The 27,850-nt window shown below is 38.0% G+C and overlaps 1 protein-coding gene and 1 long non-coding RNA gene across 14 annotated transcripts in view, besides 2 other annotated features; one reads left to right on the plus strand and one right to left on the minus strand.

The window, feature by feature from the left end:
• ZNF521 (zinc finger protein 521) overlaps positions 1–27,850 on the minus strand; it is a 290,243-nt gene that overhangs the window by 148,503 nt on the left and 113,890 nt on the right. For 9 of the 11 annotated variants that reach the window (XM_017025697.3, NM_001308225.2, XM_011525909.4 and 6 more), the window contains one exon: positions 13,919–17,271. In XM_017025697.3, the coding sequence (XP_016881186.1) occupies positions 13,919–16,831 (2,913 nt within the window). In that variant the 5' untranslated portion in view covers positions 16,832–17,271. Of the gene's footprint in view, positions 1–10,651; positions 13,690–13,918; positions 17,272–27,850 lie in introns of those variants that run through there. The other 2 variants (XM_047437474.1, XM_011525910.4) reach the window with 1 other exon arrangement.
• Positions 17,944–19,594: an enhancer, noted in NCBI's record as "VISTA enhancer hs1653". NCBI's record gives its function as "enhancer in: blood vessels[5/8]" and the evidence as "EXISTENCE:transgenic organism evidence [ECO:0001131][PMID:17130149]".
• Positions 20,516–20,635: an enhancer, noted in NCBI's record as "active region_13173". NCBI's record gives its function as "activates an Ori minimal core promoter by ATAC-STARR-seq in GM12878 lymphoblastoid cells {active_cell/tissue: GM12878}" and the evidence as "EXISTENCE:reporter gene assay evidence [ECO:0000049][PMID:35858748]".
• Positions 23,604–27,850, plus strand: part of LOC105372031 (uncharacterized) — a 46,669-nt gene continuing 42,422 nt past the window's right edge. For all 3 annotated transcript variants that reach the window (XR_001753378.3, XR_001753379.3, XR_001753377.2), the window contains exon 1: positions 23,604–23,689. This is a non-coding gene — a long non-coding RNA (uncharacterized LOC105372031). The remainder of the gene's footprint in view (positions 23,690–27,850) is intronic.

The raw sequence follows: 27,850 nt of genomic DNA on the forward strand, positions 1-27,850 counted from the left end.
ACTCAGTTAAAGGTTTGCTTATGTAATACAATGTTTAATTCAATAAAATAAATTATTTGCCTTGATATGGGGATTTTTATAGGACTTCGCCTGCCACTCAATCTCTTTATGACATGAAGTGCATAGTATATCACATACTTACGAGGTGTCTAATGTTCTATTCATGTGTGGCTCTGAGAACCTGTACTATTATTTAGTTTTTAGAGAAATGCTTCCTTCTTTGCTTCATTTTCCAAATATTTTAATTACCAGGCTTCAATTATTTACAAGTGTTTACAAAGAACCTATGGCATACAAGTAACTAACCGGGGACCCACGGAGGCTACCAAGCCAAAGCCCAGCCTCTGCCCCTCTCTCCAGCTCTCTGACCTTCTCTCCCACGACTCTGTCCTCTGCTCACTCTGCTCCAGGCATACTGTCTCCCTGTTCTCACATAAGCTTGCCAGACATACACAGAGGAGAAAGACATGTATCCAAATAACCATATTTGTATAAAGCTTCTCCTCTTTACAAACCTGATAGCTAATGCCTTGTGCATGGCAGGAATTAATAAATCTGTTATCACAAATTGAAGTACCAGATGAGGAATAAAAAAGTTCATGCTAAATGCTAATATTCCCCAAAGTGTGAGATATATACCCATTAAAGTGTAATACATGGATACTGCTCTAATCACAATAACAAGAGAAAAAAGATTAACTGAGATGCTAATATGTCTTTAATACCTCTACAACACTTAATAAACTTGTAGTAATGAACAGGTTTCAGGCTCAGAGCCTTTTGTGGGTTAGAATATATGGCTAGAAATTTTAGAATATCATTTTGTATTCATTCTTCTATTTATGGTGAATGATACTGATTATATACTTAGGGTTCTGAGTTTTGGGAGTTTTTTGTTTTTATGTTAAAGATTAAATGCTTATAGAGCATTGATAACATAGGTAATGTATAAAGAGTTAACTGTTAAACACCTGTATACCTGGACTCCTGCACAGCCTCCTATGCAGCCCTCCCAGACAATCCGTTACTCTTTCTCTAAATTTGCATTTTCTATATTAATAATGAGAATAAATATTTTCACATGTTCACTGGACCTTCATGCTTCCTATTTGTGAAATTCTGTTCATGTCAATTTCCCATTTTCCTATATGGCAGTTTGCGTTTTTCCATCAGTTTCTAGCTGTTTCTTACATAGTTTTGGAAACTATTCATTTTTCTAGTTATGTGTTATAAATTTGTTTTATAAACCTGTAGCTTTTGTTTTCACTCCCTATATGATGTTTGGTAAACATAAATTATTTTTAACGTTGCTGAACATATTTTATTTGTGATTTATATTGTGTGGGCTTGTTTACAAAATAATTCCCTTATAGAAAGTGATAAAAATATTCTTTTATTTTACTAAAAGGTTTATGGTTTTGCCTTTCACACATCTGTCTTTAAACCACTAATTTTTATACATGTCAGTAGAGATTCAATTTTATTTTATTCCATATAGATAATGAGTTGAACAGTTTATCCATTTCCCCACTAATGTGCAAAGGCAGTTCTATTCTACACTGAATTTTATACATGTAATATCCTTTTTGGAGAAATCTCTGTGTGGTTCTGTGGACTAACACTGCATAATCCTAATCACTGCAGATTTATTATAAATTGACTAGAAAATGGGACAAATATTTTCTCTGCCTATTCTTTTTCTTCAAGAATATCTTTGTCATGTGACTTTTCATTCTTCTATACATGTTTTGGAAACTGCTTATCAAGTTCCAAAATATAAAAATATATAAAAAATATTTTAATGGCCGGGCATGGTGGCTCACGCCTGTAATCCTAGCACTTTGGGAGGCCAAGGTGGGCAGATCACAAGGTCAGCAGTTCGAGACCAGCCTGGCCAACATAGTGAAACCCTGTCTCTACTAAAAATACAAAAATCAGCTGGGCATGGTGGCGCACACCTGTAGTCTCAGCTACTTGGGAGGCTGAGGCAGGAGAATCACTTGAACCCGGTAGGTGGACGTTGTGGTGAGCCAAGATCATGCCACTTCACTCCAGCCTGGGCAAAAGAGTGAGACTTAGTCTCAAAAAAAAAAAAAAAAAAAAAAAAAAAAAATATATATATATATATATATATATATATGTATAGAAACATATATTTTAAAACCTGTTGAAATTTTCATTGGAATAGCACTAAATCTATAGATCAATTTAGAGATAACTGACAGACTTACAGTATTGAGTCTTCCTATAACTTCCACGAACAAGTTATATCTGATCATTTATTCAAGTCTTTTAAAATATTTCAGTAATGTTTTATCATTTTTTCCATAAATGTCTTATATATTTTGTAAGATTGATTTCTAAGTACCTATTTTTTTCTCCCTATCATAAGTAGGATTATTTTAAAATGTGTATTTTCTGGGTTTTGCTAGTGAATAAAAATCCAGTTGACTTAAATGTGTTGATTTGGTACCCAGCAACTTTGCTAAAGTTTTATTGTAATAATTTGTCTTTAGATTCTTTGGGTGTCGTTTTACATGCAAATATATTACCTGTATATGACATTATAATCTGTATATTTTCAATTTTTGTGCTACTTTTTTCTAATACTCAAATTCATTTTGATTTTATCTTAGCTTACAGGCTACATCACCCAGCATGCCTTAATAGTAATTTTAGTTATAAAATATTAGTTAAAATTTCCCTGCAAATTACATTGTCAGTATAATAATATAGTTACATTATAACATATATTATAATGATAATATTATAGTTACATTATAATTATATTATAAAATATATAACTATATAATAAAATAATGGTTATATGTAACTATTATTTATAATGCTTGCTTAAGATAATATTTTAAAAAGTTTTTATTAGGGTAAGGGAATTCCCACCTATTCTTAGTTTAGTGTTCTTTTTTGATCATGAAAATATGTTAAATACAGTTTTTCCATTGACTTTTGAGATAAAAATATAATTTATCTCTTTTAATCTGTTAATGTGGTCAATTAAATTAATTGATTTCCTGAAATTGAACCCACCTTGCATTCTTGTGATAAACCTATTTCAATCATAATGTATTCTCTTTTTTATACATGGATTTAGCTACTAATACTTTGTTCAAAATTTTAAAATGTAAAATCATGAATAAAAGTGGCCTACATTTCTCTTTTTCAGTATTTTTGTCTGGTTTTGATATCAGGATCATATCAGATTCATCAAATGAACAAAGGTATTTTCTCATTTTGTATTTTCTTGCACAGTTTTGAAATTATGTGTATGTTTAGGGCGACTCATTTTGAAAGCCACCTGAGCCTAATATTTTCTTTGGAGGAAAGATTTTCAACAATTTATTAAACTCTTTAATGTTTATTGAATCACTATACTTCTCTTTTTTTCTTGAGCCATTTTTGGTAACATATTATTCTAAGATGGTTTCTATATACTGTAACTTAAATTCTCTACCATTAGCATAAAGTTACTCATAGTATTATTTTTTCTTCTTTTATCTTCATTTGGCATTTTTTGTAAAATTTTAATTGGGAAATAACTTTACATATAGTAAACTGTAGTAATCTTAAGTATACTGCTTGGTGAAATTTCAGATATCACTCACCAGGATAACCAACACATAGAGAAGATATGAAACACTTCCAGCATCCAGGTAACGCCTTGCTTTTCCTTCCCTGTTGACACGATCCCAGAAGTAACTACTCTGACTTTGATCATCACAGATTAGTTTTGTCCATTCTTAAACTTTACATGAATAAAGTCATTTTGCTCCTCATTCTCTCAAAAAAAGAATTATTGCATTCTTTTTATAGTTATTTTGATATGTGTAATGTTTCTCCTATTAGCTTTTTAACTTCTGCGAGTACAAAGTAAGGCTCCCCTTTTCATTATTAATATTATTTATCTCTGGTTCTTTTTACTGATTCATCTCACCAGAAGTCTGTAAATTCTGTCAGTCTTTTCAGAAAACTAACTTTTCACTTTCTTGGCCTCCTTGTTGTTCATTGTTTCTTTGTTTTCTATTTATCTTAAGTTGATATATCTCAGTGATAGTATGCTTTCCTTATTTTCTAAAGTATATTTTCTAACAACTATCCCTCTAAGTGGTGCATTTAGTTATATCTCGAAACTTTTGAAATGTATTTATCCTTCAGTTTTCAGCATTTTTAATTTCTATATTATGCCTTCTTTGTTCAATGTATGTTTTAAACTTTAAAATGTATGATTTTAAGATATCCTTTTCATTTATAAATTACTTGTATTATAGTCAGAGAACTTGATTTGTGTGATCCTCAGGTTTTAAGTTTATTGAGATAAGCTTTATGATAGGAAGCACGTGAAGGAGACCAGCTGAGATTTAATATAGTTTGGCCTGGAGAAAGGATGCAGGAGATGCAGATAGAAGAGAAATTACAAAAGAATAATCAATGGCTCCTGGGGAGTGACTGCCCTAACAGGTTAGGAGAACAGGAAACATATAGGAAACAGAAACAAAGTTTCAGGCAGAATGACGAGGCGAAAGACGAAACACTAACCAAAATGGGAGAAAAATGAAATTATAGTTGGAGTTGATTAAAGGGCTAGCAGAAGCTTCAACTGGTAATGTGAAAAGGGAAGCTGAAAATTTAAGACTGGGAGTTAAACAGAAGTTGAGAATTGAAACTTCATATTTTGCTTATTTGTATGGGATAATAATGAGGTAATAGGAAATAGGAATTCCTATTTCAGAATAGAAAAGTAGGTTAAGAATAGAACCTTTAGAAACATGCACATTTAAAAGATAAAAAAGCATAAAAAGGTTTGTAAAAGTATAAATAAGGGGAACCAGCTATTCAGGCTTTTTAAAAGCTTTTGGCAAGATTCTTAAAATTAGGCTGCTAAATTTCTAGAAATACAAAGTACATGTACTAGAAAACTACATCTACATCATGTGGTAGGTAGAGCAACACCGTAATAAGAGATCCAGACATCCGGAATATAGCTTTCACTTTTCTTTCATCATTTAAAATCATCCTGACTAGATATTTACTAATCTCCATCTTGACAAAATCTCAGTCAAAAATGTGAAATGTTTCTCCTAGACAGAGTTCTATGATGACACAAGATGATTCCAAAGTCCTTTGGCCTAGTACCAAAAGGATAAATGTTATTATGTGCAATCAGCAATTTGAAATACAAAAACATTCCTATTTTTGAATTTCATAAGTTCTAAAAAGTCACTGTAACCATATAAAAAATATCAACAAAAGGTCTAGAACTGGAGGTAAGTACAGAAAATCTAGGAATGGTAGATGCAGCAAATTCAATAATGGGGGCAATGGTCAGTATCAGGTGATCACGGAACTGGGTAGAAAGCGTGGATGCAAGGCACCTGCTCCCACATTCCAACCCATGGTACTGGTGCCAGGGCCGTTGACTCCCTGTTCTATTACTTTGTAGATGGCAAAAAAATATTGAATACAACAACAACAATACAGATTGGACTTGGCAGAGCAATTCACTGTCTTTGAAGAACACCTTGAACCTTATCAATTTATTTGGTCCTGTAAATTTTCTATTTAATTTTTTAAATACTGTCTCTTTAGAGGGAGTTTAACCCATTTAGTTTTTGCTCTTTGCATAATTAACTTAGCAAAACTTAGTATCAGCAATTTGAAATTTGAAAACTTTAAAATATTTTTTAATCAACCTGTTTTTTTCAGCCTCATAGGGAAATTCTGATGAACAGAACAATACAAAACAGAACTCCGGGACTTGAGTAGGCTCTGAATTGTCATCATGCACATTTCCATCTTCCATACAAAAACCATAAAAAATATTGATTCTAAGACACTTAAAACAGATCTTCATATTAAAGATGAACTTTGGATTGTTACAAACTTCAAACCTTTTACTGTATTTTAATATTTTTAGATCAAACCTAACTTTAAAATAGTTTTAGGCTAAATGACCTATACCCATATGTATTAGTAACTAGATGTAACTGAAAATAAAGTATACACCATTTTGTGTTACTCTGAAGGACTTACACTGTATTCATTTATTCAACTAACATTTACTGAGCCCTTATGATAAGTTGATGGGCATTCAGAGATGAGAAAGGAGAAGAACGAAATAGGGCTTTTTTCCTTGATACAGGGTCTCACTCTGTTGCCCAGGCTGGAGTACAACGATGCTATCACTGCTCACTGCAGCCTTGAGCTCCTGGGCTCATGCAATCCTCCCACTTCAGCCTCCTGAGTAGCTAGAACTACAGGTGTGCACCACCACACCTGATTAATTTTTCATTTCTGTAGAGACAGGATCTTGCTGTGTTGGCTAGGCTGGTCTCAAACTCCTGGCCTCAATGATCCTCCCACCTCAGCCTCCCAAAGTGCTGGGATTATAGGCATGAGGCATCATGCCCGGCCGAGTGAACAAATAATGACATTTTTAAAAGAAAATCCTAAAGGGCAGACCACCTTTGATAAGGTTTTCAGGAAGGCCAACCTGACAGACGAGAAAGAGCCAGCAGAACAGACAGGCTGTTTGGGAAGAGCAGCTCAGGTGATAAAGTGGGGAAGCAGCACATGTTCAGGATCTGGGCAGAGTTAAGAAGGAAGAGTCGCCAGAAGGAAGTGAGAATAGCCTGCCACAGCCAGAGAGCCCATGACTTTGTAAGCTGGTGAGGCGTTGGGGTTCATTTGAGAAAGTGGGAAGCCACGAAAAAATTTTAAGTGACTTCACTTAATTTACAGGTCTACGCTTCCAACTGCAGCATGAAGAATGGACTGGAAGTAGGCAGAAGATGAAGGAGAGGATCTGTTAGGAAGCTACTGCGGTATCCAGACGAGAAACAATTGCAGCCTAGACTAAAATTCTGGCTTTGAAGGTATACAGAAGTGGATGAGATATTTGAAGATACTTATTGGAGGTGGAATCAACAGCATTCATTGATGGATTAAACATGGAGAATGAGAGAAAAGAGGAATGAGGAATGATTCACAGGTTTCTTGCTTGAGTAATTGGGTGTAGAGTGGTTCCCTTTACTAAAATGATGGAAGTCTGGAAGAGGAAAACGTTTCAGGAGAGAGAACCAGGAGTCTAGGGTATACATACGACATTTCAGACAAAGGTTTCCTGGATGAAAAATCTAGGTGGTCATTTGTCCTGCAAAAATAAGAAGATATTTTGGGAGGGCAACCAGGCACATTCAAGCTCCATGGCATGATACCCATGCAGTGAGGCCTTTGCCTAATATGGGCCTGGCACTGTCAGAGGTACCAAGAATATGAGACTGAGTAAGTTCTTGTCCCAGGAAATTAATCAGAGGAAAAGACAATGTAATAGATAATCACAAAGCAGTGTAACAATTTTCACGTGATATTTACTCCATATTATCTGCACAGGGCATTGAGGGGATAGGGAGATGCTTGGGATGGAGAGTCAGGCTCATAGACGGCCTTCTAGAATAGTTGATCTCCAAAGAAAGGATAAGCTGGACAGCCTTCTGGAAGGTGGAAGACAGTCAAGAGGAGAGAGGTTATTTGGGGAGAAGAAACAGGACAGCCTCAGTAAGACACAGAGACAATATGTTATGTGTGGTTAATTAAAGTGCTTCCAATTATAGAACAAGGAGAGGGCAGGGAAAAGAAGGGAAAGCCGAAACCTGAAGGGTCCTGTATTTCACAATAAAAGGATTATTATATCATCCTATGGGGATGGAGGAGCAGAACACTTACAATGTTTCAAATAGGAAGGGACATGCTAGACAGATTTGTGTTTTAGATGGATGGTTCTGGCAGTGGTGTGGAGATGGATTTGAAAATGATGAGACTCAAGTCAGAAGGACCAAATGAAGCTGCTTCAGTTGCTCAGGAAAAGAAGATCAGAGATTGAACTTAAAACGTGGTAAGGGGATGGTGGGAGGAGTTGATTCAAGAAAAACAGTTGGCTGGGTGCAGTGACTCACGCCTGTAATCCCAGCACTTTGGGAGACCAAGGCAGGAGAATCACTTGAGCCCAGCATGGCCAACATAATGAGACCTCGAGCCTACTAAAAAAAAAAAAAAAAAAAAAAAAATTAGCTGGACATGTGGTGCATACCTGTATAGTCTCAGATACTCAGGAGGCTGAGCCAGGAGGATTGCTCAGGAGGTTGAGGCTGCAGTGACCCATGATCCCACCACTGTACTCAAGCCTGGGCCACAGAGTGAAACCCTGTCTGAGAGAAAAAAACCCGTCTCTACTAAAAATTACAAAAAAAAAAAAAAATTAGCCGGGAATGGTGGTTCATTCCTGTAATCCCAGCTACTCAGGAGGCTGAGGCAGGAGAATCGCTTGAACCTGAGAGGCAGAGGTTGTGGTGAGCCGAGATCACGCCATTGCACTCCAGCCTGGGCAACAAGAGTGACACTCCATCTCAAAAAAAAGAAAAGAAAAATAGCTGACCCTCAAAGAACACAGGTTTGAACTGCATAGGTCCACTTATATGTGTATTTTCTGCCTCTGCCACCCCCAAGACGGCAAGACCAAACCCTCCTCTTCTTCCTCTTCTGCAGCCTACGCAACTTGAAGACAATGAAGATGAAGGCCTCAGTGATGCTCCACTTCCACTTAATGGACAGATTTTTCTCTTCCTTATGACTTCCTACTAGTATTTTCTTTTCTCTGGTTTACTTTATTGTAAGAATACAGTGTGTAATACATATAACTAACAAAGTATGTGTTAACTGACTGTTTATGTTATCGATAAGTAGGCTATTAGTAGTTAAGTTTTGAGGGAGTCAAAGTTATATGCAGATTTTTGACCGAGTGAGGGGTCAGTGCCTCTATCTCCTGGAATGTTCAAGAGTCAACTGTACATATGAGCTGCAGTCAAGATGGCTTGATGACCAAATGATGCAGAGTAGAAAGGAAGTGACTGAGAAGATCGATGGACCTACAGGTGAAATAGAAAACATAAGAAAAAATGCAGGTTTAGAGAAAAGGTGCTGAGTTCTATTTGGGACCCACTGAGTTTGAAGTTCAAGGGAACATGTGAGTGGATACGTGTAGCAGGCAGCTGTTTATATGAGTCCGAAACTCAGAGCAAAGATGTGAGTTGGAGACATCATTGCTTTTTAAAATTAGCTCACGCCTGTAATCCCAACACTTTGGGAGGCTGAGGCAGGTGGATTGCTTGAGCCTAAGCTGGTCTTGAACTCCTCACGGCAAGCTCGTCTCTACCAAAAATACAAAAAATTAGCCAGGCATGGTGGCATGAGCCTGTAGTCTCAGCTACCCAGGAGGCTGAGGTAGGAAGATCACCTGAGCCTGGGAGGTTAAGGCTGCAGTGAGCCATGATTGGACCACTGTACTCCAGCCTGAATGATAGAGTGAGACCCTGTCTGAAATCAATAAATAATAAAATAAAATAAAATTAGCTTCATTGAGGTGTAATCCCCATAAAAATAATAAACCAATTTTAAATCTGCTGAGTACTGATAAATGCATGCAGTCACGTAACCACCACAGGCATCAAGATAAAGAGTGTTCCCACCAGCTCCCAAAGGTCCCCTCCTGTCCCTTGGATACACTATTTGGAGAGCGGTCAGTAAAAGGTGGTCGTTCAAGCTCTGGGAGCGAAGGAGGCCCCATGGAGGGGATATGCAGACTGAGAGCAATGAGGGGGAAACAAACCTACAGGAAGGGGCTAGCAAAAGAAGGAGAGGCCACAGGGCGTTCACAGAGGCAACCAGGAAGCCAGGAAGGAAGACAGAGGCCCCATAAAAGTGGACTGGCCAACAGTGACAAGTGCTTAGAGACAATAATAACTAAGATATACTATCTTTTTGTTTCTCTAAGTACAATGCATTGGTCAATTAGGCCAGAAGAGCCCTTGGAGTCAGCTGCAATAAAGTGACGAATGCAGAAGATCCTGGGCAATGGGTGAGGGAACTGAAGGAGAAGAGAAAGAAGACAGGAGTACCGAGAGGATGCTGTAGAAAAGACGGGGATTCAACTGCAGCTAGAGGAAAGTGCCACGGGATTGTGGAAAGAGAATCCTGAACCTGGAGTTAACCTGAACTCTAACCCCTTGCCTACCACTTACTGGCTGTGTGATCTTAGACAATCCTCTATTTACCCGCCCCTGTTTTCTTGTCTGTAAAATAAAGTGGCTGAGTCAGATGGTCTACACTGTTCCTTCTATTTTGATTCTGTGGCACCCTATGCACATCTCGCGACATGGAGATCATGAGGATAATGGTAATGCTGGCAAGAGCAATTTCAAAGGACTGGTGAGGACAGTGTGAATTGAAATGTGAGTAAATAGTTGCTCAGGGAAACTTGACTAAGAAGCACACTAGAAAAAGGAGGCAGAAGAATACGTGTTTCCAAAATCTACTGTAGAACTTCAAAGTCATGAGACAACATTCTGAGGTCCAGATGGGGCAGCCCCTGAGTAGACAGTGCCCATGAACTCCAGAAGAATCAACATTTATTCAACGTATAGTAAATGTCAATAACTGCAAGGTGCTTCATGTGTGGAAACAGCTAAAGGGCCAGTGTTCTTCCTGTCCCCAGTTAACCTTACCATCCCTGGAATCATTTATTGTAGGTTATGTGTAAATTTCTATCACACTCAACCTTTGAGGAGCAAAGAAAAATGAATAGGTTCTCCAAAATATTTTATTCAAAACAAAATCTTCACTGCAAATTTAGATTAATAATCTGAGGATTCTGGCACAAAGAAAACATTTTTCACAAATTCAGAAAGCATTAGGCAGAAGAAATGGGATTCAAACTCAGATCTGCCTTCGATTTCAAATCTCTCTATTACATAACAGCTACCAACAATTATCCTTCTTTTAGTGTTGCATGCCTTGTCTTTCATCCATTTTTTGGATTGCAGGGTTTTATATAGTACTTATCCTCCCCAGATTTATATTTAAGTTTAAATCCCTTTTAATTAGGTATCCTACCTAGTCTCAATCATATAATATTCTTTTTAGTCTTTGAAAGATGGACACAAATGTTTACCGATATTCTATGTAATTCTAAGTCATGGTCCAGAAAAATCTAACCTTGTTCTTGACCATACCTATGTATCCAGGTTTTCTTATCTCCTGTGATTTTCTTTTCACTTCTGGAGTCTCAAGCCTCAGCAAGAAGAAGAGATGAAAATACCACCTATGTTGCTAAGTCCTTCAATTGCTACCTAGGGCATCTAAGTCAATAGACATATATGTCACATTTCTTTTTGTGATAAAATTTATTCCTATATGATACACCTGTCTTTTGACAAAGACTTATATAATAACATTTCATTTTACCTAATCTGGAAAAAATGCACAAACTCCTCAAAATGAGAACTTATAGAAATTTAACTTGGCTAACAAAGAATGTGAACAAATGAGTATTTATTTTGTATTTTTCTTGCTGACATATTATTTTTAGGCTTCTTTTTGTAAAACTTTGTGTATATTTAGATAATTTTCTATATTAGTCTAAATAATATGGTATATTGTACATATTTAATTGTAGAGAGTATCATACAAAATTTTATAACAAATAGTATGATGAATTTAAAAATGGCGATAGTAACGATGATTAAAATGTTGAACAAATTAGTGAACTTTTGAGGCACTAAGAAATATTTGAAACTAAATCCTAATATCTCATCAATTAAGCATACCACTCTAAGCTCTTATTAATCAGGTTTCATAGGGAGGTACTCGACTGCATAGTCATTTTTGACCCTTAGTCATTAGGTACTTTAAAAATGCAATTGTAAAACTTAAACAAGTATTTTAAAAAATATTTGAAGTATTATCCTATGTAAGTGCAGGATAAAGATAGGCTTTCTAAATATCACTAAGATTTTAGGTGTCATTCGAGCCTTAATGATAAATTCTCCTCATCGAGTAATTCTAACCAACTTAATGTGTAAATACTATTTATATGTCCTCATTCGTTTTTGAAATATTTCCTCTTAGATGTTATTATAATTACAGCAATTTATAAATATCAGAAAATACAAACCATGAACAGATAAGAAGACACAGGCATATGCCCTTTCATAAACAATCTACTAAGAAACAAGAGAGTCCAGCTATGCCTCATTTAAAATGCACAAGCAACACCAAAATCACACACACAGACACACAGACTAATGCAGTCATTTAAAATCAACTTTACACACTTTGTAAATTAAACATGAGTATCAATCTCTTGTAGGCATATGTTAAGCATTACAAAATAAAAACAAAGGAGAAGAGTAATTTTCTGCCTTAATGTTTTCAGAATTCTCATTCAAAAACTTAAAAATATGAGACATTTTGGGGACAACTGAGGAAATCTAAATATGAACCTCTTACAGACGATATTATGGGATTACTTAATTTCCTTTTTTAATTTAGTGAATTGCTTTAGCTAATGATGTCATAATTGAACAAAAAAATACCCTTATTCTTAGGAGATGTCATGATACCTGCAACTTTCTTTCATGTGGCTGAAGTTGATTTTAAAAAGGGGTGCAGAGAGAGAGAAAACGCTACAAAATATTCTTATCTGGAGGACCTGGGGATACCCATACACAGGCACACATACGTGTTCGCTGTGTTGGTCCTTTAACTTTTCTATAGGTTTAAAAAATTCCGAAGTAAAAACTTGGAAAACCCTCATTTCATATGCTTTTAACTACTAATATTTGTTTCAAAAGAAACAATTTGATCCAACCCATGAGCTATGAGCCATAATCAAAGCTATGTTCTTCCAGCTGTCCTCAGCAGTTTGAAAGGATTTCATGTATTTAAATGAGAGAAAAGTGCAGATTTACTTGGGGAGGGGAGAAGGGGGAAAGTGGCTTCAAAGTTTGGGAGTTTGCCTGCCACACAGATGCCACATTTTGTGAGGCCAGGCTCTGTCTCAGTCTTCTCAGCCCGCCCCTGCCAGCTGACTGATGGCTATCTGCAGGGAGCCACAGGGGGGCCTCCGCCAGGGTGTGAGTGCAGAGACAAGATAAGGAAAATGCAGTAACCCCAAACTGAAGGGAGAAGGATCTCCCTGGGGTTTTCATTTGGATGGATCTCCAGATAGGGGCAGGTAGGGAAGTGGAAAGAGCTTTTAGAAACCAGGTGATAAAGCATAAAGAAATATTAAAATGAGCCATCCTCTGCTCAGCTACTAAGAAATGATGACTTATGAAATGATTTCATTATAAATGAACTTGTTTTTTGTACTCGTCACGGCAAAGAAAGCAGAAAACTACTCTGAAACTAAGGAGAAAAAAAAAAACGCACACATTGATTTTGAAACCCAGAGAGTAGGCCTCAAACTCAGGGATAGTGTCTTTAAACAGAATAATGGGCATGTGGTGCTTAATAAATGTAGGGGATTTTTAAAAATCCTGTTGTGAGGAAGTATTTTCCTCTCTACCCAGAAGACAAAGAAAAACAGTGAGTGTTGACAACATGGCATTAAAAAGCCACCCCTACCCAATTTGTTATCCCCAAATATATATATTCTTTTTAATTTACTCTAAGCCAGCATGGTGGCTCATAGCATCTTACTTTTGAGTCATTATCTCTCTGCCATACACACAAGTCATAGCTGGGGATTTCAACTCACGGTGAAGCTATGCTGAGATTCCAGATCTCAGTAGTGTTGGCATGAGCGCTGGTCTCTTCAGTCATAGAGAAGACAATATCCTAGGGAGACTGGAATTAGTCCTATTTTGCACCATTCAAGCCAAAATGCTGCTTATCAAGAAGCAAGTAATTGCTAGCTAATGGCTATGGGGGAAAAAGAAACCCACTGCATTTCAATCTAAGCATCTTTTGGCCCATGACAATAAATAAAGCTGTGGAGAGTGTAAACATAAAGCAGGGACCGTTTCTTGAGGAGGTTAAATAGCAAACATTAAAAAAGGCGAGTTACCTCATCCGACTGGGAGGGACTGATTCTGGGCATTGGTGATACTTGGGGCGTTTTCAACTGTGTGCTGTTGCTGTCTGGCACGAGCTCTCGGTGGATGGTTTGGATGTGGTTCTGGAGTTCACTTTCAGACTCAAACTTAACGTTGCAGCTAGAGCAGCGTGTCTTCAGTCCCCCCACCTTGCCTTTCCCCTCAATGGCACTCAGATTCTCATTCTGGCCCAAGCCTGGTCTATTCGTGCCGGGAGGGACGTTAATGCCTGGGCTGGCGCTCTTACTGAGATTCACGCAGCCGGCACACAGACCATATGGCAGGCCATTGATATCAAGTTTCACCAGATCTTGCTTGGAACGGAATTCTTTGAGGCAAGATGCGCACTTATACAGTTTTTGGACGTGCTGGCCCCGCCCTGTGGTCTGAACTGCAGACCCATTCCCTGTCTTTTGCATGTGGAACGTCCCATGGATTTTGAGTTCCAAGGTGGAGGTCACTGTCTGCATGCACACCACGCAGCGAAAGCCTGTCAGGGAATTCCTCAAGTCAGGGTGCATTTGGCAATGCTCTAAAAACTCCTCTTCACTCTGGAGAGGCATCTTGCAAATCCGGCAGTTTCCAGTATCAAGACTCTTACTATGCGTGACTTTGTGTTCAGTAAGAGTTAAAAGGGAGGGAAACCGCTCTCCGCAAATAGGGCACATGTAGTGTTTGACAGGGCCTAGGTGGGTCTGCATATGTTCCCGGAGGCCATTTTCGGAGAAGAAGGTTCGAGAGCACACGTTGCACTTGTAATTCCCTTTAATGAGCTCAGCTTTCTTTTTCACGATGGCACTTTCTCCAGGTCTGATGTTGTGGTCTCGGAGCTGGTGATTCTGCAGCAAAGTTTCCATAGTGTAGGCTGCCCCACAAATGTCGCAGCCGTACATAGGCTCAGAGGTGTCAACGTCTTCTTCGCTCCCATCGTGACTGTTGTGGGACTCCTGGCTGTTGGTCAGCAAAGTCTGCAGCTCCACTTCCTCTTTCTGCACTTGCTCGGAAGCTCCATTTGTTCCACAGTTGGGTGTCTTGGTTTCGAATACACAGTGTTTTTCTCGCAAGTGTTTTTCTAACAAAATGATCGCATGGAAGGCTTTGCTACAGAACTTGCAGTTGTACTTCTTACTGTGAGTGGTGATGTGGCATTGCAGCTCCACCTCGGTGCCAAAGGACTCACCGCAGAAAATGCACTTATGCACTTTCCCTTGGTTTTCCAGGTGGTTGTGTTTCACATGGAGCTGCAAGTCAGTTTCGTTGCGGAAGTCCCAGTTGCAAGATGTGCACCTATAGACTTTCTTTTCGTTACTGTGCTTCACAGCCAAGTGGAGCTGAATGGAGACTTTTGAGTCAAAAACTTCCTGGCAGAGGGTGCAGCGAAAGAAGACAAAGGTGTGCATGTCCAGCAGGTGTTTCTGAAGGTCATCCACTGATGTGAATTGCTTGTCACAACTCTCACAGATGTAATACGTTGAAGTGATCATAAAGTGAATGGTAACATGCTTCAGCAAGGATTCTTGGTTGGGGAATTCCTTGTTGCACTGAGGACAGGTCAATTTTGGAAGCACAGTGTCGAGATGAGTTTTTAGGTGAGTCTGAAAGCTGTCTAGGGATGTGTACTTAGCACCACATTGATTACAGATATATTCTCCAGTGGGACGTGCAGGTGCACCTCCTACTGCCTGCATCATCTTAAGAGATGTCTGCTCTATGGCCACAGGAGATAGGGGGCTTAAGGCCCTGGATTTCTTCCCATTGTGGATATAATTCAGGGCCAAGGGAATGTTTTTATGATTCTCTTTGATATGCTTGTTCAGTTTAAGAACGCTGTTGAATATTGGCGAATTTGTACAATAGGAACAAGAATAGACTTCTACTACTGGTTCTTTGGGAGTCCCAAGCACTGGAGACCCAAATCGGGAGCCACTGAGGTCACAATGAACCTGTCTAATATGCTCTTCCAGGGAAGAGTCAGTGAGAAACCCCATATAGCAATGGGGACAAAAGAATGCATTACTATCTTTAGCTGCAGGGTTTGCAAATCCATGAGAACATCGGATGTGTTCCTGAAGAGTGTTGAGGTCGTTGACAACTTCGGAACAGAAGTTACACTGGTAGACAATGGCAGGCATGGCAGAAACAATCAGACCTGGGTCCTGAGCTTCATGCACTTGCTTAAGATGTTCATTTAGGTTATAGAGTGAGGGCAGGACCTCCAAGCAATACTGACAAATATGGGCCTGTTCTGGCTTATCTAAGTGCATAGTTTTCAGGTGAATCTGCAGAACTGCAAGACTTGAAAATAATTGTTTGTTGCAGTAAATACAGCTGTAGGTAACTTTTGCTTGTTTACTCGAGGGACCAGTCATGTCAGGGGTTTGTTGAGCGGCCCTCTTCCTCCCTCGACTCTTTGGGATTGGCGGGGCAGCTTCCACCATGGTTGAGCTGTCCACTGAGAGGTTGGAATCTGGAGTCGTACTGGACACGGAGGTATAGCCCACCGTGACCAGGGAAGGGCTGTTGCTGTGATTGCATGACTCCGGTTGCTGGTGACTGTCCATGTGGCTGTACAGTTCCTCAACTGTGTGGAAACTCTCAGAACAAATGCTGCATGAGTTCTTCTTCTCCCCGCTATGCACCTGCTCCATGTGGTTCATGAGGGAGGTCTCCTCTACGAAGAGCTCGTGGCAGTAGACACACTGGAGGGCCGCTCGGTCCTCATTTGGGGAGCATTCGGGGTGGCACTCTGCAATGTGTTTTTGGAGGTCTTCCGGGAAGTCAAAGCCTTCCTCACACTGACTGCACTTCTGAGTGTCCTTCATCTTCCAGTCCTCCATCCTGGAACCGGACTGAGAGCCGTCCTTGTTCCTCTCATGAACCTGCATGTGTCCGTGTAAGGAACTAGAGGACAGAAACCCACGGCGACAAATGGCACATTTATATGGCTTGTTGGACGTGTGAGTCTTTAAGTGGATCTTCAAGTGATCACTTCTGGAAAACGCAGCATCACATTCACTGCAGTGGTACTTCTTGTCCCCGGTGTGGAGTTTTATGTGGCGATCTCGGCTGCGCTTGTGTTTGAACAGCCTACTGCAGTAGGTGCATTTGAAAGGCAGTTTGTCACTGTGACTCTGCTCATGGTGCTTTAGGTAGCTGAGGCGGCTAAACGACTTGTCACAGAATTGACACGGGTATGGAAGCCCAGGGCCACCTTCTTCCTCTCCAAAATCGCAACCTTCTCCATGGCTAGGGGAAGTCTGATCCTTGCTAGAAGGTGAGGAAGCTGGCCAAGAGCAAGTCGGATCATCTTCAACATCCACTCCATCTGCAACAAGAAGCAATGACAAATTTCATCTGACATGTTGAGATTCAAGAGTGAGTTTACCGTAGCATTTCAACCAGCACGCAGAGTTGGGCCCTCTTGAATCTTTCAAGAAAAAACAAAATGAAAAGAGAGAATATTTGAGTGAGACATTTTCAAATCTGAGCCCAAAGCAGTTATTCTGCATTTACTTTTTGTTGAGTTGTAAAATATAAGAGGATATTAAATAGTTCTATGTCTAAATTACCCTTTTATTACTTTTTATCATTCTTCCTTAGAAGCAAGGTATATATTACACATTGACAATTTTATTAAAATGCAGATTTTAATATATTTAATGTTTCTTTTGTATTCCTTCTAAAATGATTTGCATATTATGTGAGCATCTGAAGAACCAAATGAAAAGAGGAAATATTACGGGAATGATTTAAAATTAATGCAGTCAACCCAGATGTCTAATATTTAATAAAAAATTCCCTCTGCATTTTGCTTGTTTTTATATAAAAAGGCAATTCTGCAGACCAAAATCTGTTACGGGGTTCTTATTGATACAGACCTTATTGCTTTCAGCAAAAAAATATTAAAAAGTAAGCACATGAAAGAAGACAGAAAACACAATAATAATTATGTCTTGTGTAATGAAAGATAACCAGGATTTCTTCAATAACTGAAATTCGAATTCCATAGGCCAGAAAATGGATTATTAAATGTTAGAAGGGTACTGCTAGATATTACATGTAGCTAGGATCAGCTAGGATCAAGAAAAAATGAGAGTTTCACAAGGGCCAGATTTTAATAGTGTATTTTGTTTGGAAAGTTCAAGAGGTGGCCCACCATATCTTCCTTTTGCAAAAGCTTCAGCAGCCTGAACTTCCTTAGCTAAACAGGACCTGCACTTTGAGGTGAGCAGAGACAAAGCAACTTGTGAAAAACTGGAAACAGGAAAAGTGATAAATGATTATGGTAAATGCTGAAAGATTTATGAGTGACAAAAAGAAGACAAACAAGACTGAGAGCCAGATATAAACTTAGCAAGTTATCCATAAAGGAATGTTACCTTATATTAGGTGATTTTAAAAACTATGTTCTTAGCAAACGTGCACTGTTATTTCTGTTGCTTTCTTGATATCCAAGTGGAAAATAAGACCATCTCAAAGCAGGTTGTGAAACCTCTTTTTTGCTTTTCATAACCTATTATTCAAGATCAGAAGAAACTTTAAAAGCTTTCCACTCTCCAAAGGAGCACGATTTTTCAAAAAAACACACAAGTAAAGACCATGGAGTGGAGCTGGTGGGGATAGTGTTTCAGTTAGAATAAGAGGCTCAGTTAGAGCATTATTAGAATATTCTAATGGTATTCAATTAGAGTATGTTCAAATAAGTTTTTAAATTCTTCAAAGCTGAAGTTCACTAGCAAGCTAAATGATTAATATAAAAGTAGAAACTGGTGAGCATTATGTAAACGAATTCCATGTCTGCTTTCTTTAAGGTAACAAGATTTTACTAGATTGTCAGCCTCTTCCTTATCCACAGGAAACAGATGAGGATCATTCCTTTCCTGCATCTAGAAACTGATGACAACACCATCTCACTATCAATGCCAGATGGCAACCCTCTCACTCTGAGAAAACAACCAAACACCATTCCTGGATCCTTGCCCACTGCAACAAAGCTTCGCCATACAAGTTGAAAACCGCATGATTTTGCATCCTCATTTATAGGACTCTATAACCCAACATGTTTCCAGCATAAGAAAGGGTCTGATGGATGTGGATGTGATTTATACTTAAAGTGAATACACCAGGAACATATGCAGATAAACTCAACTCACCACTCAACATACAAAAAAAAAAATTTAACTAAAAGCAAAAAAACTCAATAATGATCTAGTTTTCCCCTTAAAAAAGTGTTGTCACCTAAAGCTAATATACCTGAAACAAATCAAGGTTTCAAATATTTACCCTAATTGAAAAAAAAGGCCATCTATTAAATGTACTCAACATTCTAGGTAAAATCTACCACATTTCACATTTATCTTTTAGGCTTAAATCCTGCTATTTCATTTAAAAAATATTTTCAAACACATCTTCTCATTTATACATTTGGGGAAAACAGTGAATCAGAATTTGTAATGCATCCAGCCTAGAAGGATGTAACTATTGAGCTTGAAAATTGAGCAAGTGAATTTATAATTAAATTGCAGATTGTGTCCAGGTATGATATATTTTTTACAAATACATAAAGAATTATAGAGCAATGGACCATTATAAAAATTATGCAATCCCTAACACCAGGCTTAATTCAGGTTCTTGTCTGTGGTCCATGCCTGACTATATCTATTATATAACTGTTCTCTTAAGCTTGTAAATTTCAGTGACACGTCAAGTGAGCTGAAGGTTAGGATCAAGGTTTTAACCAGGATTCAAGAGAGCAGAAACCTTTTCTTTCTTCTCTCCAGTCCCCATTACTTGTCTTTGTAAAGGAAATTACACAACACCCCCTCTAGAAGTCATAAGGCGTGGGGATTGAGCAGAAGTAAATAGTTTGAGCAAGGAATAATACTTATAGAAAAATAAATAAAGCATCCCTGAAAGGCTGATTTCTGTTTTAAAATATAAAATGTAAAAACTCTCATTTGCCAGTACTGTAAATGGATTGTGTTCTCCAAAGAACACACAGGGACTCACTACTCCAAGCGGGTTGGTCCACACTCTTCAGGTATCAGACTCCTCCAAGACTTTTGTGGTGATGGTCTCCCCGCCAACATACTCTGAGGTCTACCTAAGACTTTGAGAGTTATCCATCCCCATTAACTTAGGCTTTTTGGCAGCCACAGTGCAAACTAAGCTTAAATGGTGAATATAGGTTTAAACGATGTCAATTTCTTTTTACACGTGGAAGAAACTGTAGAAGATTCTTTCAACTCAGGTTCCTGAATCAACTTTAACTTTTTTTCCCTTTGGCACTAAGTGCTACTTACAGGGACTGTCTTTCTGGGTGATGGCAAGTTTTCTGCATTTCAATGTGAAGTACTTAACATGTCCATGTTAAATTTTAATTTTTGAAACCAGTCTCTTCACTTGAGCTGACTCTCCGAGAGCTGTAGCTCTTACTGCCGAAAAAGCTTTGCTAGAAACCAGCTCTGTGGCCTAAAAAGTCTATTTAAAGATGCAAATGTGTGTGCATGGTTAGTGCAGATGTTTTTCTACAGCAACTGTACTTGCTGAGTTTCACCATTTCCATAAAGCACATTAAAACAAGTGTGTGAACACTCCGAGATGAAAGTCTCCAACACTCCTGAGACTTTCAGTGGAAAGTAGAGCCGCCTGACTTTTCTCCAAGCAGACAGGAATGCCCATGATTCAGCAGCCTGAGTAAATAAAAGAGGTCCTTATTTCCTAATTTCGCTGGCTGGCCACACTGCAGCAGCCTCTGTGTTTCTGCCAAAGGGGATGCAGAACTGGAACTACACCCAGCCGCTGAAGGCCTGTCTTTGTTAGCCAGCCAGGCTTTCCGGACCATCTTCTGGCAGCAGAACGGCCATATCCTGCAAGGAAGACCTCCATCTCAGGCTAGGCGCTTCTCTAGTCTGCCTAAAAGGACGAAACAACAGATTTTGCTGGGTCTGTGTTGGAGGAGGACAGCTGGAAACTCAGTTAGCAGCAGAGTAACACCTGTTCAGGCATATTTATGGGGGAAAGTGCTCACTAACAGAAAAGTGAAGTCATACCAGAAGGAGTTATTCCACAGAAAAAAGGCAACAGAACACAGAGTACCTTTGTGACGTGAGCCATCAGCCCCTCGTGTGCCAACCTGGGGAGGAGGAAGCAGAGACTGGACGTGATTTGATCCTAGCTCCTGCTGATGGACAGACAAGCACGCAAATGAGGGTCTGAGAGTCTGTTTACAGCCTGCCATTGTGGAAGAGAAATGCTGAGGGTTCTGGCCACTCGCTGGTGTTCAAGACTAATCAAATTAGCCAGAAATTAGAAAATAAGATCAAAGAGAGAGGAAGAGAATATGTGCAGAAGGGCTAGACTAATGTTAATGCTTACTTTGTTTATGATTAAGCGGGTCTTAATTTGTGTAGGACATACACTTCCTGAGGACAGGGACCAAGCCTTTCAGAAGATTGATTCCAACACTAGGGGCAATCTGAAATTATTCAAGAGAAACTAATGTAAGAAAGTAGATGAAAATACTTTCTCTGAAGTTATGGAAACTTCTGATAATGTTCTTCATAGGGCCTGGTCTGCAAGAAACTGGCTTAACAATATCCTTTTGCTACCTGAGCTTGTTCACTGCAACAGCAGAGTACCCTCTTAACTGCCCATCGGGGACTCAGTATCATGTGTGCTAGTGCCACACAGCAAGATTTCCTTAACAGGGACAGGATTTACATCAATGGTTACTTTTCAAGTGAGGAGAAGAAGCACAAATACTGATGGGTCTGATACTTGTGTAGGAACCAAAAGTCAAGATCCTGGAGTTTTATTTCTAGCTTCATAACTGACTTAGAGAGTGACCTGGCTAAGTCATTTAATCTGCCCCTACCTAGGTATTTCACCTGCAATATGAAGATAAGAATTCTTGCTACTTACCCTCTGGGGTGTTACAAAGACTAGTGAATGTTTCTAGGGCACCTTATCATGGCTGGAAGAAAAGCTGCATATGTAAACAAAAAGATTTATATGTGTTGCATGTATTTCTGTTTCCATGTGTAAGCTTCTATGAATATAGCATAAACATATTTTAATATTTTCTTTCCTTTAATGCAATCTCAGGAATATTAATTTTAAGGACTGACCCAATGGCAATCTACAGTGCCTTAAGCTTTCACAGTTGTATACGCAGCTAGCAAGAAAATAAAAGATAAATAGCTGGTGATACCTAAATGTTAATAGACCATAAATCTGTGCTTACTATGTTCCAAACATTAAATTATCAAACATGGGATATAATCTTGGGTCTTTACAGGCAGGTAACCTTGGCACAAGTGTTTTTCTATGGAATTCTGAGGCCAAGAATGCGGTTTATACCTCTCTTCTCCTTAAAACACGAGCAATACAATCATTGCATTATTTAGCAACATGGTAAGTTGATTCAGTAAATTTTTTTTTGAGGCTCAAACAATAGGGTAAGACTTGAGACCAACAAAATTTCAGGTTTCCCCCCACTTGCCTTACATAATTGTTTACTTCTGCCAGCAGGCTATAGGAGCAGTTCTGAAATTTCTTACTAAATAGAATTCACAGTACTTTTTCAGTCATTAGCTACCTGAGACACTTTAACATAAGCTGAAACTCCTGGGGGAGATACACAGGTGTGCACAAACACTAAGAGAAGTCGGGCTCTACTTAAAGAGGACAATATTTTGAAATGCATGTTTAATAGACACAGGTAACAAGGGTACTTGACATGTTACTTCAATGCCAACACAGTAACAATTTTACACCATCATATTTAAAATCTTCTAACCAAATTACAAAATACATTTTTAAAGCAATGATTTAAATTGCTAAAAGATAAGGTCATGCTAAAAAAAAACTATTATACATTATTACACAATTGCTTCCCTTCATTCTCCATAGAAATGTCAACAGTTTTAGAAAAGCTGTAACTTTAATAGCTATCATGCTTCTTTTTAAAAAAAAAAAATCAACAGCTCCACATTAAATTCACTCCTTTGTCATATAACTTATTTAACTACTTGAAAACGAATACCCTTTACTGGGTGTTCAAATGAGAAATGTGAACTTTAAAATTATTTATAATTCACAGATGCTTTTAAATTCTGTAATATTTTGAACTGTTCTAGAAGGACCAATTAAATGAATTAACAGTTAGGTTATGAGGAAGAAGGGTGGTCACCCATTAATAACAGCAGCTGTGAAGAGCGGGAGTTGGTGGTGCACATTTTTTAACAGTCTTAAGATGAATTCCAGATATCAGAGCTCAAGCTCAGAGGTTTTTTTTTTTTTTTTTTTGCCTTCAATACTCCCTAGTAAAAAAGAGGCTCGCTTTCCCCCAACAACACTTTAACACTTCAGATGAGCCAACAAAGAGATAAGGAGTTGTTATCACATCTCCATGGCTCTCCTTAGGTAATCCTGGGCTTTTCATCCATTCTTTCACCAGACACATTTCGATTGCATGTGCAGGGAGAAGTATAAATGTTTTGCTTGCTGTTGCTTAAAGTTCATTTGAACAGACGGAGCTCAATGAATTCCATCTTCCGCAGCCAAATTAAATAGAAAACAGTGCATTCTTAAGCAGTTCACACTTAACTCCACCTCTCAAATCAGAGGAAAAAGCTGACGTGAAACCAGTTAAAGAACAGTCATCCTCTCTCGCACGGAAATCAAGACATTGTGTTTCTGAAGCCAGACAGAAGGAAAAGTGGTTTCCAATTATGTGGGGGGTGAGAATTGCTTTTCTTTTTCTATCTTTTGGCTCACTTAAAAATATATATAACTAATGATAAGCACCCACCTCTTGGCGTTCAATAATTGGCAACTGTGTATTACACATCTGTTTACAGTGCCGTGACTGAGGGTGTTCTAAACCGTTTAACATGTTGATCTTTTCTTGAATAATGACAGACGTCACCAGAGTGGATTTCCTGAGTCTGTATTCTTTTTATTCTCTACTATTTTGAGTTAGAAGGCATTTATTAGTTACTATGTGCTCTTGTGTTTATATATGACCTCATACCACAAAGAATTTAAAGCAGTTTTTCATTGCTTTAATCCATTGATTTAATCAACTTTTATTAAGCACCTACTATGTGTTCAGGTCTAATATTGGCTTGTGAACTTTAGAAACTACTTTTTTTTTGAAGTTTTGATTTCCTTGTCTATAATATCAGAAAAATTTCGGCCTGCCTCAACATATGAGGTATTATAAGACTCAAACATGACCTTATATGAAGGAGTTTTCTGTACTGCTAAAATCTAAAAATGTATTACATTATTACTACTGCTATGAAAGCCAAAGTTACCTATAAGTGATAAGTGGTAAATGATAACTCATAAATGTGAGAACAGCAGAAAGGAATCAAAATTAACGATAATTTAGTTGTTGCAGTTTTCATATTGAGATTCTAAAAATTTTTAATGACTTAAAGGGCATTTCTGTTTATAAATAAAAATAAACAAAAATAAAGAACTACTATTTAACAATATTATTTAAATAACAATTTGATAGACAATATTATCATTATAAAATTAATATGGATTAATTTATTAACAATATTATTATTCTTGTTAAATAACAGTCTTAATAAATAAAAATAAACAAACAAAAATATTCCAAAAAAACTCTTCTGAATGCTACTCACAGATATCTTGAAAATCAATGTGTAGCAGTTCATTGGTTAATAGCTACACACACTGGCCAGTTGTGATTAATTCATGAGTGTTGTAAAGTCCACACAACGAAAGGGCCTGCATTCAAAGTCCAGGAGCCACATTCCATAGTGCCAGCACCACTCTATAAGTGACTATTTGGCTTAGTTAGAAAGTCCTTGAGGCCAATTCTATTTCACTTCAAAATCCTTTGCACCAGTGTGAAATATACGTACTGAGCTTTGAAGGATGACCTACACTTTTTAAAAATACTCAGTAAATTTCTCAATGCTACCAAGTTAATCATTAGTGATTTTAAATTAACTTCTTCACTGGGGAAGCAGAAGGTAAAGGGGATTCTTCCACTGAGAAAACTAAGTTCGGAAATGGCTTCGTTAGGGAATGACGGATCTTAGAAACTTCATTTCACCACGTTAATGGTTTTGGAAGAACTGCCATAAACCACCAGAATTTTCAAAAAACGAAATCAAATTCTATTTCAAAGCAGCATCTGGTCTAACAGAATGTTTTGTCTTGTTAAACTAGACTTTACTGACTATTTTTCCAACATGTAGGCTTTGGTCCAAGGCCGGAAAACTTTCAGTCACCAGGAATTATAACAGTCCTGAAATGGTATTTATTGGAGCCGAATTTCACCTGTATTATAACCATGGCAGTAGTAACGCCAACATGAATTTTCGGCAGCCTGAAAAGGCCACACTGTATACTTCACTGCAGACAAGGCCACTAGAGAATACAAAAGTGCTGAAAGGCTAAAATTTAATTAATGAACAATTAGCACCCCCTGTGGGTTCATTGTGCAGTAAAGTGATAAATATGGTTTGCTAATGTAGAAAAAGCTGTTACAAAGATTAGGGGGGAACTATTACTACAATTATCCATATGCCTTTGTATTACAACTGACCTCAGTACCAGTTCTTGATTTGGACATACATGTGTCTAACAAATGATAGGAATTGTTAAGGTCTGTGGCAAATAATCATTTTGAATTTTGTTAAAGCACAGACTGACTCACACAGGTTGTCAGGCTGTTTTCATAGGGTGAAAAAGCCACTGAGATCGCTAGTGAGTACACCCAGCCAACCACCCAGCAGCTGCAACTCAAAGTAGTATCTGTTGTCTGCTCCTCAGTTTTATGCATTTAATGAGGAAATTATATGCTACAGTGGTATTAAGGAATTCAGAGATGAGGGGCTGGGCGCGGTGGCTCACGCCTGTAATCCCAGCACTTTGGGAGGCTGAGGCGGGCAGACTGCCTGAGCCCAGGAGTTCGAGATCAGCCTGGATAACATGGTGAAACCCCGTCTCTACTAAAATACAAAAAATTAGCCGGGCGTGGTGGCATGCGTCTGTAGTACCAGCTACTCAAGAGGCTGAGGCAGGAGAATTGCCTGAACCCGGGAGGCAGAGGTTGCAGTGAGCCGAGATCACGCCACTGCAGTCCAGCCTGGGTGACACAGTGAGACTCCATCTCAAAAAAAAAAAAAAAATTAAAAAGGCATTTCAGGGATGTTGGACTATCTTGAGACTTCATGCATAAGAAAGACTCTACAGTAGGGCCAATCACTAATATGCCTTATACAATAGAATTTTTATAGTGTTTCAACAGAATTATTACCTTTCACATTAACACTTACATGGTAAAACTGAAATGGAAAAATGAGATTGGATTCCAAGTAACCCAAATGATATAAGACAATCCTTTATCTCAAATGAGATAATGTTTATAAAAGTACTATATAAACTGGAAAGCCAAAGCTATTTTCTTAAAATCATCTTTAGTTAGGGTATGACAAAGTATCTCTACACAGGTCTTATGATATTAAGTACATGTATTTATAGAGTTTTTAAATTTATAATTTTGCTAATTCAGCAAAATATAAAAGAGGCATTCTGAAAATAAGGCGAATTATCAATTTGAGGACTTTCCAGTTACCCTCTTTGCCCTTTATGTTTTATTTTTCACTTTTGGTTTGATTTTTCTCTTCCCTAGAATCTCTACCTTAGAATGAATATGATGATAACATCCAAGCCAGTTCATTTCATTATTTTTTTCTTGGTAACAGCCCTGGTAATTTATTTATGGGAACCAGTACAGTTAAAATTGTGGCACACGGTATGTGTACGCTTGCATGCTTTTATCCACAGTTGACTAAATGTTCAGAATAGACTAAGTGATTTATGCCAAAGTAGTTTTTCAAATATTTTAGGTAACTCTCATTACAAAAGTGCTAATCGTAGTAATTTGACACTTAATAGGACTAAATATCTGTACAATCATGTCTTAATGAAATATGTCTCTAAGGGAAGACTTTATGACGCTACTTTCTACTGATTAATATCTATAATCATATTTTTATTAAATTATATATATGTGTCTATATATAAATAACACATATTATCTGAGATGATACATCTTGGCAAATATTCCAACACCTGTGACAAAATCAGGCCTCAAAAACCCCATGATACCTCCACATACTAGCATCTTACTTTGCCTCCATCCAAGATACTTTAAAAATAACAAAATAATGTATAAGAAAAGAATCCAAGGTAGTGTGGCCACAGTAATGAGACACATTGCTAATATTCAAAGATATAAAACCTACCAGCACAGTTTTAGAATCTTCACTGACTCAATACTGTCTGTACCAAAGGGCTGTTCTCTGAAATCTTTACAAAGCTTCCTCCCACATCTGAGCTCTGCTCTTTTCTCTTAAGATGGCCTGTTGTTTGGCATGGATTGTGCATACCTCTGGGTCTGACTTTAGGGCTCAAAGGAAAGAAAATGAGTGAATGTGATTGAAGCCTACACAGAGAAAAGAAAGTCAAGGCTGTCATTCCTAACTTTTCATGTATATATATGAAACATAAGATTTAAGACCTGTGAGAAATGTGGGCCTTTAGGGGAAAAAAAGTGCTAATTTTACAGATGAACAAATAGGTCAACGAGGATGAGTAACATGTTATAATCTTGTACTAACAATAGTAGTTGACAGTGGCACTGAAACCCACATCCAAATCTCCAGTGCCGAGGCAAGCACCTTGGCTCTACGTATTAGAAAACCCTCAAAGTCCATCCTTCCCAAACTCTCCTCCACTAAAACAACAACAACAATAACTCAAATGCTGAGTTTTTATGGGTAAATGAATAAACCTAAAGTGGTGTTTAATAGTGTTTCTCTTTTAAAAAAAATTCATTGTTTTTCATATTA

The sequence above is a fragment of the Homo sapiens genome, chromosome 18, assembly GCF_000001405.40.
Source record: "Homo sapiens chromosome 18, GRCh38.p14 Primary Assembly".
Classification (NCBI taxonomy): Eukaryota; Metazoa; Chordata; class Mammalia; order Primates; family Hominidae; genus Homo; species Homo sapiens.